The 13,712-nt window shown below is 45.8% G+C and overlaps 1 protein-coding gene across 30 annotated transcripts in view, besides 2 other annotated features; it reads right to left on the bottom strand.

Annotated features, from left to right (window-relative positions):
* DPP8 (dipeptidyl peptidase 8) overlaps positions 1-3,232 on the bottom strand; it is a 75,223-nt gene extending 71,991 nt beyond the window's left edge. For 11 of the 30 annotated variants that reach the window (XR_007064468.1, XR_007064466.1, XM_047432764.1 and 8 more), the window contains exon 1: positions 1,199-3,232. Coding sequence is in view for 21 of the 30 variants with exons in the window: in XM_047432764.1 (XP_047288720.1) it covers positions 1,199-1,235 (37 nt within the window). In the remaining 9 variants the exon portion in view is untranslated. The remainder of the gene's footprint in view (positions 1-1,198) is intronic. The other 19 variants (XR_007064467.1, NM_001438674.1, NM_001438668.1 and 16 more) reach the window with 5 other exon arrangements.
* Positions 2,479-3,032: an enhancer, noted in NCBI's record as "NANOG-H3K27ac-H3K4me1 hESC enhancer chr15:65809274-65809827 (GRCh37/hg19 assembly coordinates)". NCBI's record gives its function as "activates a minimal SCP1, AML or CMV promoter by ChIP-STARR-seq in naive H9 embryonic stem cells {active_cell/tissue: H9 hESC(naive)}" and the evidence as "EXISTENCE:reporter gene assay evidence [ECO:0000049][PMID:30033119]".
* Positions 3,177-3,256: an enhancer, noted in NCBI's record as "active region_9601". NCBI's record gives its function as "activates an Ori minimal core promoter by ATAC-STARR-seq in GM12878 lymphoblastoid cells {active_cell/tissue: GM12878}" and the evidence as "EXISTENCE:reporter gene assay evidence [ECO:0000049][PMID:35858748]".

The raw sequence follows: 13,712 nt of genomic DNA on the forward strand, positions 1-13,712 counted from the left end.
TGGAGGCCTACTTTCTACCAAATGTCAACGGAACCAGTTTTGTTGTTGTTGCTGTTTTTGTTTTGTTTTGAGGCAGAGTCTTGCTCTGTCACCCAGGGTAGAGTGCAGTGGCGCGAGATCTCGGCTCACTGCAAACTCTGCCTCCCAGGTTCAAGCAATTCTCCTGCCTCAGCTTCCCGAGTAGTTGGGATTACAGGCACCCGCCATCGTGCCCAGTTAATTTTTGTATTTTTTAGTAGAGACGGGGTTTCACCATCTTGGCCAGGCTGGTCTTGAACTCCTGACCTCATGATCCACCCGCCTTGGCCTCCCAAAGTGCTGGGATTACAGGTGGGAGCCACCGTGCCCGGCCAACGGACCCAGTTTTATATCTAACAGACTGAGGGACAAATGAGAAAAGAACCTATACAAACTGGGCTCATTTTTCTCAACTTCTCTTGTGTTACGTTTGGAAGTTCACCTGCAAACCAGTGCTTGCAAGAATAGGGCTGGGGAACAGAATAGGGAAGCTCAACAGAAAGACCTCCTCCCAAGCCTTACTGTCCAGTTTATTTTTTTTAGACAAGTCTCACTGTTGCCCAAGCTGCAGTGCAGTGGTACAGCCTTGAACTCCTGGAATCAGAGGATCCTTATGCCTCAGCCTCCTGAGCAGCTAAGACCACAGGAATGCATCACCATGCCTGGCTAATTTTTTAAAACTTTTTTGTAGAGATGGGGGTCTCACTATGTTGTACAGGCTGGGATTATAGGTGTGAGTCACCGCGCCTGGCCATGCCCAGCTTCTTATTATTCACGTCACATCTTTCTTATGCAAAATGTACATTAGCTTACATTTAAATTATCTGGTATTCCTGAATCGTACTAAGCCCTGGACACTCTATGCATACACATGCATACTTGCGTGTACATGTACAAACATTGTACAGTCCAAATGATGGTCTCCTATTCTGTAAGTTCACAGCAAATGTCCATCCTGCATTTCTAAAATATACCTGATATTATATAATATTGGTAATCTGTGCAGATGTTTGGTAAATGACTTAATTCCTGATTATATACAAACACATTCTCAAAATAGGTGACCTGAATTTTCTAATGTCAAAAATAGGAAAATAGGGTCAGTGTACCTTCTCAGCACAGTGCATATATTTCACTGCCCCACCTACCTCGTCACTTAAGTAGTTTCCCTGGTGCCTACCTGATTTTATTTTCATCTGCTCAGATCTCTTCCACATTCAAAGAGATCTTTTTCAAGTGACTCGACTTCAAGCATAGAATCCCTCTGCTCATCCTGCTCTTCTCACAGGAATCTTTCCTTTCCTCACCATCAAAGCCTGCTCACCAGGATAATGAAATAAGATAAGACTTTGATCATTAAGATGGACCATATGTGGCCAAAAAGAGAAGCCCCAAAATAGTAGTTAAAACTGATACCAAAATATCACTTTTTGGGGCAATATATAATGCCTACATTATTTTGTATCTGCGTTTTATGTTATCAGAATTCAAGAATTATTTTATTTCAGAGATGTGTAGCCCAATATAGTCAAAAGAATATCCTAACATAGCAAACTTTGGTGTCCAGACAAAGGAAAACCATGGAAAGGCTTTAAAAAGTTACAAAAGGCATACAGATGTGAAGTTACTCAGTGACTATTGCAAATCATCAAAAACGGCATATGATTAATAAAATTTATTTTTATGTGCCTATTCCTGTTCCTCTTTTACATAATAATGTCATATCAAGCTGGATGGAGATAGAATTAACTCAGGAGGATAGCCAGTAAGAGTTACAGGCCATTTTTGCAGAAAGGGAATTAACTTGAATTTAATAACTTAAGACTTTTCACGAGATAAACAATTTTCTATTCATCTTAAGTGCATTCCATTTTCTTGCTGCATTACTCTGAGAATAATTTAAATAGGTAACTTTTCTGGAAAAAGAAGCATTAAACTTGTTGAAATTCTGGCTTAGGAAAAAAAAAAAAAGGAAGGTCTGCTATTACATCTGTTACTCTATAAGTTTTAATTTTGGGCTCCCATAGCCCAAGTAGGTGATGAAGGGATGGGGTGGGAAAAGCTAAGTGGCAAGTGCAGGAAAAACAGCGAGGTTATGCCAGCACAGCAACAATGGACTAAGATGTCAAGACACCTCATAGCACTAAGCCCCTCACTCAGAAATAGAGCATGTTGACTCAGAAAATAGCTTTAGGACTCTTGAGTTTGGATCCACTCAAGTGAAATTCCTTAATTTTTAACTCAAGGGCCAAACAGCCGTCCACTTAAACACCTAAAGCCTCACTGAAGCCTAGCTATCTCATTCTTTAGGGTCCACACCTAGTTGAGAGATTCAATAGCACAGAGGGGGCAAAGACCTTGAAAAACTATGAATGAGGAACAAGAGGAGAGGCATAGCAGAGAATATTGAGAAGAGAGATGGGAGGAATGCCAAGTCTTAGAAGAAAAGTGTGTGAGAAGACAGGTGTGGCAGGAAAGGAAAGTGTCCTGCTGCGAGTGGGTGGAACAGAATGGGAGAGGGCAGTGAGCAGGGAGGGAATCGACCTAGCATGAGGCAGGAGAGAAAAAAGACCACCAGCTGAAAAACCAGAAAATCTGAGGCCGAAGCCCATCTGCCAAGTCGGACTTAAGGAAAATCCCTTCGCCTCTGTGGGCTTCCGTTTCCTCATCTGTAAGCGCTGACAATACCCGGCCTCCCAACCCCAGCGAGACTCAATTAAGATAACGGACGTGGAAGCCAGGAGGCCAGCGCCCAGAGCTCAAGGGGCGCCCAGTGAACGGTGGTTGACTCGGAATCTCAGAGCCTCGGCTTCCTCTTCCGGCAAGTGGGGGGGAGGGGGGAAGGGCACCACCGGCTCTGCACTGGGCAGGGCGGCGCGCCGGGTAAACCGCAAAGCGCGCTGACCCTGAGAACGCGCCGAGCAGTCCCTCCGTGAGGCGGAAAGGGCCTGGTGAGCCGTGGCCCAGGCCTCGCCGGCGCAGGAGAAGGAGAAGGGGGCGGATACTGCACCTTCCCCCCGGCCCCGCCCGGACCGTCCCGACGTGCGCTATGGAGCGGGCCTGCGCCGCTTCATGCTGCGCCGCCTCCACTCCGGTCCTGGTTGCAGTGGCTTCCTCGGCGGCGGCGCCGGTGACAACCCAGGCGGCGAACGCGGCACTAAGAAGCAGCGGCGGCAGTAGCAGCGGCCTTGGCCTCGGAGGCTTTAGCACTTCCGGTTCGTTGCGATCCGCTTTCCGACTGGCGAAGGCGCAGCCGGGCCAAGAAGGGCGCCGCTGTCTGCTGGGTGGGGTCCAACACCACAGCGCAGTCTAGTGGCCGGAGGAGCCAAGGAGGCGCGGGGTGGAGACTGGGCCGAGCAGGGGATAGAGATGAACTCCAGAAAGGAACAGCGACTTGCTGAAAGTCACAGGGCAAAATGTGGCGCGTCTGTAGTCAATAAATAATATATATTGAGTGCCTGCTCAAAATAGACAAAATTCCTGTCCATGTGCCAGGCAGAGAGAGCCTTAGACGCTGGGAGCAAACCAGGGTAAATCCCTCCCCTTTCAACGAGATGATATTGAGGAAAGAGACTAGGGCCTTGGAGATCTAAGCGTCTCCTTGTGGTGGAAAGAAATCTGAACCTGGAGTCCGAAACTTGGCTCTAATATTAACTAGCGATCTTTCAGCAGGTCACTCAATCTATTTGAGCCATAATTTCTTTACCTCTAAAAGGGATATAATACATTTCACTTAATTGCAATTAAAGAAAACCAGCTGGGCGTGGAGGCTCACGCCTGTAATACCACACTTTGGGAGGCCGAGGCAGGCGGATCACTTGAGGTCAGGAGTTCGAGACCAGCCTGGCCAACATGGCGAAACCCCATCTCTACAAAAAATTCAAAGCTTAGCTTGGCATGGTGGCGGGCGCCTGCAATCCCAGCTACTACTCAGGAGGCTGAGGAAAGGAGAATCGCTTGAACCCGGAGGCAGAAGTTGCAGTGAGCTGAGATCACGCCACTGCACTCCAGCCTGGGTGACAGAGTGAGACTCTGTCTCAAAAAAAAAAAAAAAAAAGGTATGCACTTTAACACATAAAATGAAGAAACTGGGGCCTAGGGGAAAGAAGTGAATGACTTGTTATAATCAGAGCCAGAGGCAGGTCCCTTGACCTGCAATTTCTTTCCTGGTCTACACTGTATATTGGCTGAGAAAAAGGGAACTCAGGAAGATATCCAGGAAAGTAGCAGGTGTACAACAAAACTGTGCAAAAGCGGGGCCTCCCCTATTTTCTATTATTACAAAGAACAATGTGTCAGAGTCGTGTGTCATTAGGATTTATTATAATAGCACTAATAAAAAATCCATTTGGGTACTATGCTCCACTCCACAGTATATAATTATTCACTCTGAGGTTAAATGAGCCTTCCCTCAGGCTTTTTAAAGTTGAGCTCCCTTAAAAAAAAAAAAAAAAAAAAAGGCAAAGTCATTTTCCTTGGGTCTCTTCTATTAATTTTCTCCAAATGACCTGAGAGCAGATTTTAAAGGCTTTAAATGCACACACAAACACACACACACACAAAATACAGAGAAATATCTTGCACTTCATTAATTCAACAAGTGTTTGCTGAATCTCTGCCTTGTACCTGTCACTGTTTTAAGCAGCGGGGCCACAATAGTGAACAAAGTAGATAAAGCCCCTGTTTTCATGCAGTTTATAGCCTAATAAGAAGAGATAGAGCCCCCTCCCCGCAAAAGCAAACAATTAAAAATATATAATTTCATGCATTTAAAAAAAGAGCCATGGACAGATAAAATACTTGCTTATATCACATAGCTAATTATATATTTGACTAGATTGGAATCTAGATTTCTTTTTTTTAATTTTTATTTATTTTTTTTTGAGATGGAGTCTCAATGTGTCGCCCAGGCTGAAGTGCAGTGGCACCATCTCGACTCACTGCAAGCTCCGCCTCCCAGGTTCACGCCATGCTCCTGCCTCAGCCTCCTCAGTAGCTGGGACTACAGGCACTCACCACCACGCCCGGCTAATTTTTTGTATTTTTTTTAGTAGAAACGGGGTTTTACCACGTTAGCCAGGATGGTCTTGATCTCCTGACTTCGTGATCTGCCCGCCTCGGCCTCCCAAAGTGCTGGGATTACAGGCGTGAGCCACCGCGCCCGGCCAGAGTTCTTGATTTTTATTCTTATTTTCAAACCCTGAGAAAGCTGTAGAGGAACATCTCCACCGTGGAACGCTGGCCACCTTGCATGCATCATAGGCGTAGGCTTGAATCCAGGGATCTCTGACTCTTAGCAGAATGCTGTGTGATGTTCCTAGAATAGAAGAAAACAGGAGGCTGATAGGGACCTGGAGGCAACCTCCTCGGGGAGGCAGTCAGGAGACAGCTTCTCCTCTCCTCACAGTTTCTGATGAGGTGTGGGGCTTTCTCCCCACTCCCTCAGAATAGCACTGCTGAATACAAAATCATCTGGCCGCAGTCTAGAATTGGCTCCCGTTCAACAGGGTATCTCGCAACTCACGTTGCAGTCATCTGGCCCCTTTTGTTTCAGTACAGTTGTCCCTTGGTATCTGCAGGGGATTGGTTTCAGGATTCCTGGCAGATATTAAAATCAGCGGTACTCAAGTCCCTGATATCAAATGGCATAGTATTTGCATGTAACCTATGCACATCCTCCTCTCATATATTACTTTTTTTTTCTTTGGTGACAGTCTCACTGTGTCACCCAGGCTCTGGAGTGCAGTGGTGTGATCTTAGTTCAGCTCACTGCAACCACCTCAGTCTCCCAAGTAGCTGGAATTACAGGCGTGTGCCACCACGCCCAGCTAATTTTTGTATTTTTAGTAGAGACGGGGTTTCACCACATTGGCCAGGCTGGTCTCAAACTCCTGACCTCAAGCGATCTACCCACCTCACTTCCCAAAATGCTGGGATTATAGCTGTGAGTCACTGCGCCTGGCTGACTTTTTTTTTTTTTAATTGAGACAAAGTCTCGCTGTGTCGCCCAGGCTGGAGTGCAGTGGTGCAACCTTGGCTCACTGCAACTCCTGCCTCCTGGGTTCAAGCAATTCTCCTGCCTCAGCCTCCTGAGAAGCTGGAATTACAGGCACCCACCACCATGCCTGGCTAATTTTTTGTATTGTTTGTTTCCTTTGAGACAGAGTCTCGCTCTGTTGCCAGGCTGGAGTTCAGTGGCGCGATCTCGGCCCACTGCCACGTCCACCTCCGGGTTCAAGCAATTCTCCTGCCTCAGCCTCCTGAGTAGCTGGGATTACAGGCATCTGCCACCACACCTGGCTAATTTTTGTATTTTTAGTAGAGATGGGGTTTCACCATGTTGGCCAGGCTGGTCTTGAACTCCTGACCTCATGTGATCCACCTGCCTCGGCCTCCCAAAGTGCTGGGATTACAGGTGAGAGCCACCGTGTCCAGCCTATTATTTTTTTATATCAGTTTTTTTCTAAATACTTTTGACCCGAGGTAGGTTGAATCCCAGATGTAGAACCCACAGATACAGAGTCAACTGTATTGTCGTTTTTGATGTATGAGACAAGGATCACAAGCATCTATCACCATTGTGCATTTTTCCTTTTGCACTGTATGTAAGTAATAAACTACCTGAATCTAAAAGTGGCTTGGCCGGGCACAGTGGCTCACGCCTGTAATCCCAGCACTTTGGGAGGCCGAGGCGGGCAGATCACGAGATCAGGAGATCTAGACCATCTTGGCTAACACGGTGAAACCCCATCTCTACCAAAAATACAAAAAATTAGCCGGGCGTGGTGGCGGGCACCTGTAGTCCCAGCTACTTGGGAGGCTGAGGCAGGAGAATGGCGTGAACCCGCGAGGCGGAGCTTGCAGTGAGCCGAGATAGCGCCACTGCAGTCTGGCCTGGGCGAAAGAGTGAGACTCCATCTCAAAAAAATAAAAAATAAAAGTGGCTCAATGTATCTTTACTGGCTGAATCGGTCAGGCCGTGGCCTTGCCAAGTCTTGTTTGTGTGGTTGACAAACCCTAGCTGGCTTTCTTTGCCCTGCACTCTAGGGACCCATCAGGAAAAGACAAGTTATCTAGCACATGAGGTGTGATGAGATAGCACGGCCGGGGTGATGCAAAACCATCTGTATCTAGCAGTGGGTATTATCATCAACAAATATGTTTTAAACATCTACTTTCTGAAGCACATTGTGTTAGATACTACAGGATACCAAAAGGAGGTAATCTGTGCTCTATTGAGGTTTATAATCTCGGTGAGAAAAAAGATCATAAGCATGTAGTACATACACTAACAGCCATTGATTATAGGATATGGTGGGTCTACAGTTTCTTTTTCCACTTCCCCCCATACTTTCCCCCTTTTCAGGGTGTAGTTCAAACCAAACTGTAATAAGAAAAAAAGAAGGCGGGCACAGTGGCTCATGCCTGCGGTTCCAGCCCTTTGGGAGACTGAGGCAGAAGGATGGCTTGAGCCCAGGAGTTCGAAACCAGCCTGGGAAAAGTAGTGAGACTCACCGGGCATGGTGGCTCACGCCTGTAATCCCAGCACTTTGGGAGGCCAAGGCAGGCGGATCACCTGAGGTTGGGAGTTCGAGACCAGCCTGACCAAAATGATGAAACCCTGTCTCTACTGAAAATACAAAAATCAGCCAGGGGTGGTGGCACATGCCTGTAATTCCAGCTACTTGGGAGGCTGAGACAGGAGAATCGCTTGAACCCCGGAGGCGGAGGTTGTGGTGAGCCGAGATCGCACCATTGCACTCCAGCCTGGGCAACAAGAGCGAAACTCCGTCTAAAAAAAAAAAAGAAAAGTAGTGAGACCCTGTCTCTACAAAAAGCACAAAAATTGGCTGGGCACAGTGGCTCAGGCCTGTAATCCCAGCACTCTGGGAGGCTGAGGCGGGTAGATCACCTGAGGTCAAGAGTTTGAGACCAGCCTGACCAACATGGTGAAACCCCATTTCTACTAAATACAAAAAAATTAGCCAGGTATGGTGGCCCATGCCTGTAATCTCAGCTACTTGGGAGTCTGAGGCAAGAGAATTGCTTGAACCCGGGAGGCAGAGGTCACAGTGAGCTGAGATTGCACTATTGGAATCCAGCCTGGGAAATGAGAGCGAAACTCCGTCTCAAAAAAAAAAAAGAAAAGAAAGAAAAGCACAGAAATTAGCCTGGCGTGGTGGCGGCATCTGTAGTCCCAGCTCCTCGGAAGGATCACTTGAGCCCTGGAGGTCATGGCTGCAGTGAGCTGTGATCACACCACTAATCTGGGTGACAGAGCAAGACTCTGTCTCAAAAAAAAAAAAAAAAAAAGAAAAGGAAAGAAAGAAAAGAAAAGAAAAAAAGTCTTTCCCTCTGATTTTCTTTTTCATATTTAAGTTTTTATTTATGTACTTAATTTATTTTGAAACAAAGTCTTGCACCATTGCCCAGGCTAGAGTACAGTGGTATGATCATAGCTCACTACAGCCTTGAACTGGGCTCAAGTAATCCTCTGGCCGGAACCTCCTGAGTAGCTGGAACTACAGGCATGCACCAACACACCTGGCTAATTTTTAAATTTTTGTAGAGATGGGAGTTGTATTAGTCCATTTTCATGTTGCTGATAAAGACATAGCTGAAACTGGGCAATTTACAAATGAAAGAGGTTTAATTGGACTTACAGTTCCACATGGCTGGGGAGGCCTCACAATCATGGCAGAAGGCAAGGAAGAGCAAGTCACATCTTACGTGGATTGTGGCAGACCGAAAAAAAAAAAAAAAGCTTCTGCAGAGAAACTCCTGTGTGTGTGGTTTTTTTTTTTTGTTTTTTTTTTTTGTTTTGCTTTGTTTTTTGAGACGGAGTCTCGCTTTGTCACCCAAGCTGGAGTGCAGTGGTGCAATCTCAGCTCACTGCAAGCTCTGGTTCCTGGGTTCACGCCATTCTCCTGCCTCAGCCTCCTGAGTAGCTGGGACTACAGGCGCCCGCCACCATGCCTGGCTAATTTTTTGTATTTTTAGTAGAGACGGGGTTTCACCGTGTTAGCCAGGATGGTCTCAATCTCCTGACCTCGTGATCCACCTGCCTCGGCCTCCCAAAGTGCTGGAATTACAGGCATGAGCCACCGTGCCCATCTAAACTCCTGTTTTTTAAAACCATCAAGCCAGGTGCAGTGACTCACACTTCTAATCCCAGCACTTTGGAAGGCTGAGGCAGGCAGATTACTAGAAGTCAGGAGTTTGAGACCAGCCTGGCCAACATGGTGAAACTCTGTCTCTACTAAAAATAGAAAAAAATTAAGGCCGGGCACGGTGGCTGTAGTCCCAGCCTTTGGGAGGCTGAAGCAGTTGGATCACCTGAGGTCAGGAGTTCGAGACCAGCCTGGCCAACACGGTGAAACCCCATCTCTACTAAAAATACAAAAAATTGGGCTGGGCACAGTGGCTCACGCCTGTAATCCCAGCACTTTGGGGGGCCGAGGCGGGTGGATCACGAAGTCAAGAGATGGAGACCATCCTGGCCAATGTGGTGAAACCCCGTCTCTACTAAAAATACAAAAATTAGCTGGGCGCAGTGGCTCATGCCTGTAATCCCAGCACTTTGGGAGGCCAAAATGGGCGGATCACGAGGTCAGGAGATTGAGACCATCCTGGCCAACATGGTGAAACCCAGTCTCTACTGAAAATACAAAAATTAGCTGGGTGTGGTGGCATGTGCCTGTAATCCCAGCTACTTGGGAGGCTGAGGCACGAGAATCGCTTGAACCCAGGAGGCGGAGGTTGCAGTGAGCCGATATTGTGCCACTGCACTCCAGCCTGGTGACAAAGCAAGACTCAGTCTCAAAAAACATAAAACAAAACCAAAAATTCGCTGGGCATGGTGGCACGCACCTGTAATCCAGCTACTCCTGAAGGCTGAGGCAGAAGAATCACTTGAACCTGGGAGGCGGAGGTTGCAGTGAGCCGAGATTGCGCCATTGCACTCCAGCCTGAGTGTTGAGCAACGAGAGTGAAATTCTGTCAAAAAAAAAAAAAAAGAAAAAAAAGAAAAGAAAATGAGACTTTATTTTCTATAAAGGGTTACAGCTTGTAAGGTGACCGTGCTGATAGGCTGGGAAGTGTAGCCTCTCGTAAAGACCAGAGTCAGGTACTTTGAAGGATGAAGGGGTGGGACAGGAGCTTTATGCTGAATAGATTGGCTAAACATACATATGCAACAGGTTATAGGAGGAGGTATGAATATTCATGAAGGTGGTCCTGAAGCACGAATATTGAAGAAACATGTATGTTACATATGACCCATGTTCACCTTGCAGTGGAGACTTAACACTTAAATGTATTACAATTTGACCTATATGTCAAAAGGTCTTTTCAGGACACAAAGGCACTCAAATGTACAGCCTCTGTAAACTAGACAGAACTCGTCCGTGGTTGATAGTCTTCTTATCAGCAGAAGGTTACTGAAATAAGTCTCTTGTCCAATCAAAGCTATAGTTATGGCTTGTGGAACAAGGGGTCAGTTGGCCAGTGTCTGGTGAGGGGTAAGCTAGAAATTTTAATATTGATTATCTTAAGGCTAGTGCTTGTTTAGCTGCTAGAGAAAGAAAAACCTTGTGGCAGTTAAACATGGTTTATTCTTTAAGTGTAGGGGTGTGTGACTTAACTCTTGCCTAGCATGGCTTTAGGTCTTATTTATAATTTGGTATCATATTGCCACAAAGAGTCCGTTCCATCAGTCTTTAAACACATTATTTTTTATTATTTTTTGTTGTTGTTCCATCAGTCTTATGCTCTCTATTTTCACATTAATGCTGGTCAGTTGTTGTGTCTCAACCGCAAAAGGGAGGGGGTATAAGGAGGCATATGTGACCTCCCATCCCGTCATGACCTGGAACTCAGTTTTTAAGGTTTTTCTGGTGTCCCCTTGGCCAAGAAGGGGTCTGCTCAGTCAATTGTGAGGCTTAGGATTTCATTTTTAGTTCACACTTCTGAACTGTGGATTGACAGGTAGAGGGGAAGGTTTTCCCAGTAAAGATGGCCTACAATACCCATTCTCCAGGCAGAGTTGGGAGGCTACATGTGTATGATCTGGCTGTGGAGGATTCCCCATTAGATACCTGCACTGATCCAGTCAGTCTCCCTCTCCACACTTAGCTTTGTACCATCTAGAGAAACCTGACTTTGCTCAGGGATAACTGGCTGGGTGACCCTGGGTGGTTTGAATCCAGCCAAATTCTACAGCTCATTTTCTAAAACCTCTTCCAGAATAGAAGATTTTATACATAGATAACAACAAGGATGTGTATGACCCCTTGCCAAAGGCAGGAAATCAGCCTTCAGCCCTGGGAATGAGCTTAATCCATGGCAAGTACTCAGCAAATGCTTCCTGTAGTTAGTGGTGACTATTCTCTGAGAAGGGAGAGCTGGCCCTTGGCCAAATGAGGCTGGGAAGGCTGCATCTAGAAGGTAGGACAAAAAGACAAGGCTAAATTTGCATTTTCATTTGACCGATAGTATCATAAAACTCTTAGCCCTACCTATTTCAGCTTGGCACTGCCACTTGGCTCTGCCTTTTAATCTCCCCTGCCACCTTCCAGCGTATTTTGGTTTGCTTTTTTTTTTTTGAGACAAGGTTTTGCTCTGTTGTCCAGGCTGGAGTGCATCGGTGCCATCACAGTTCACTGCATCTCTGACCTTCCAAGCTTAAGAGATCCTCCCAGCCTCCTTAGTAGCTAGGACTACAGGCACATGCCACCGTACCTGGCTAATTTTTAAAATTTTTTATAGAGATGGGGTCTCACTGTTTTGCCCAGGCTGGTCTCGAACTCTTAAACTCAAGCGATCCTCCCACCTCAGCCTCCCAAAGCATTGGGATTACAGCATAAGCCACCATGTCCAGCCCCACCCTGGAGTTTTATAGTTCACCAGAATGATACTCTTTCTTCTCTCCATTTCTATTTTTTTTCTTGTTAGATTTCTCTTGCAGAGAGGGGTCCATAATAGTGGGGTCTCTTTGCAGAAAAATTTAGAAACAGCTGATAAGAGCATTAGAGGGAACCAAATCCAACTCATCAAATTTACCTAATTTGATGAATGTGGAAACTCAGGCCTAAAGAAGTCATTTTGCAGTATGTTACTAGTGGTCAAACCAGGCTGGATAGGCCCACTTCCACTGGACCTTTCTTATGAAGCATCTGAGGCAAAATGCCAACATTCAGTCTTCTTCTATATCAATAGCTTTCACCTTGGTAGAAGTCAGCTGATAAGCCTCAGGTTTCAAATACGCTGAATTAAAATTATTCTATTTTTTATTACCCACCTACCAGGATGGCTAAAATTAAAAACATTGGCTGGGGGTGGGGGTGGTGCTGGAAAAAAAAAATTAGGCTGGGTGCTGTGGCTCACGCCTGGGAGGCTGCAGCAGGAGGATCACTTGAGCCCAGGAGTTTGAGACCATTTGAGCCTAGAAGTTTGAGACCAGCATGGCCAACATGGTGAAACCCCATCTCTACTAAAAATAAAAAAATTAGCCAGGTGTGGTGGTGCACACCTATAATCCCAGCTACTTGGGAGGCTGAGGTAGGAGAATCATTTGAACTGCGGAGGTAGAAGTTGCAGTGAGCTGAGATCGCGCCAATGCACTCCAGCCTGGGCAACAGAGCAAGACTCTTTCTCAAAAAATAAAATAAAATAAAATAAAATAAAATTAAATTAAAAAGTCTGAAAATACTAGGGATATAGAGCAACTAGAACTTTCAAACATTGCCGTGGAATGTAAATTGACCAAAACACTTTGTAAAACTGCTTAGCACACCTACTAAAGCTAATCATACACCTGTGTAACCTAGCAATTCCCTTCATAGGTATTTATTCCAAGATAATTAAGAGCATTTATCCCCAAAAGACAGGTACACAAATATTCAGAGCAGCTTTATTTGTAATAGCTAAAAACTAGAAACAACACAAATATCCATCGATAGGAGAATGGATAAATAATTTGTGGTATACTCATATAGTCAACTACTACAGAGCAAAACCAAAAACTAAAAGAATGAATTACTGATTCACTCAGCAACATGGATAAATCTCATACACATTATGTTGATGAAAGAAACCAAGGCCCGGTGCGGTGGCTCACATCTGTAATCCCAGCACTTTGGGAGGCTGAAGCGGGTGGATCATGAGGTCAGGAGTTCAAGACTAGCCTGGCCAAGATGGTGAAACCCCGTATCTACTAAAATACAAAAATTAGGGGCCAGGCACGGTGGCTCATGCCTGTAATCCCAGCACTTTGGGAGGCTGAGGCAGGCAGATCACGAGGTCAGGAGTTAGAGACCATCCTGACCAACATGGTGAAACCCCGTCTCTACTAAAAATACAAAAATTAGCTGGGCGTGATGGCGGACAGCTGTAATCCCAGCTACTTGGGAGGCTGAGGCAGGAGAATCGCTTGAATTGGGAGGCCGAGGTTGCAGTGAGCCGAGACTGCACCACTGCACTCCATCCTGGGTGACAGAGCAAGACTCTGTCTCAAAAAAAAAAAAAAGAAAAAAGAAAAAGAAACCAGACACTGTAGGTTCCATTTATATAAAATTCAAGAACAGAACAGACAAAAAAGACTCTATGGTGATATATCAGGATAGTAATTACTGAGAGGCAAAGATATTTTAACATGAAATAACCTCTGGGATACTGGAAATATTCCAGATCTTGAT

Source organism: Homo sapiens, chromosome 15 (genome assembly GCF_000001405.40).
Source record: "Homo sapiens chromosome 15, GRCh38.p14 Primary Assembly".
In the NCBI taxonomy this organism is placed as follows: Eukaryota; Metazoa; Chordata; class Mammalia; order Primates; family Hominidae; genus Homo; species Homo sapiens.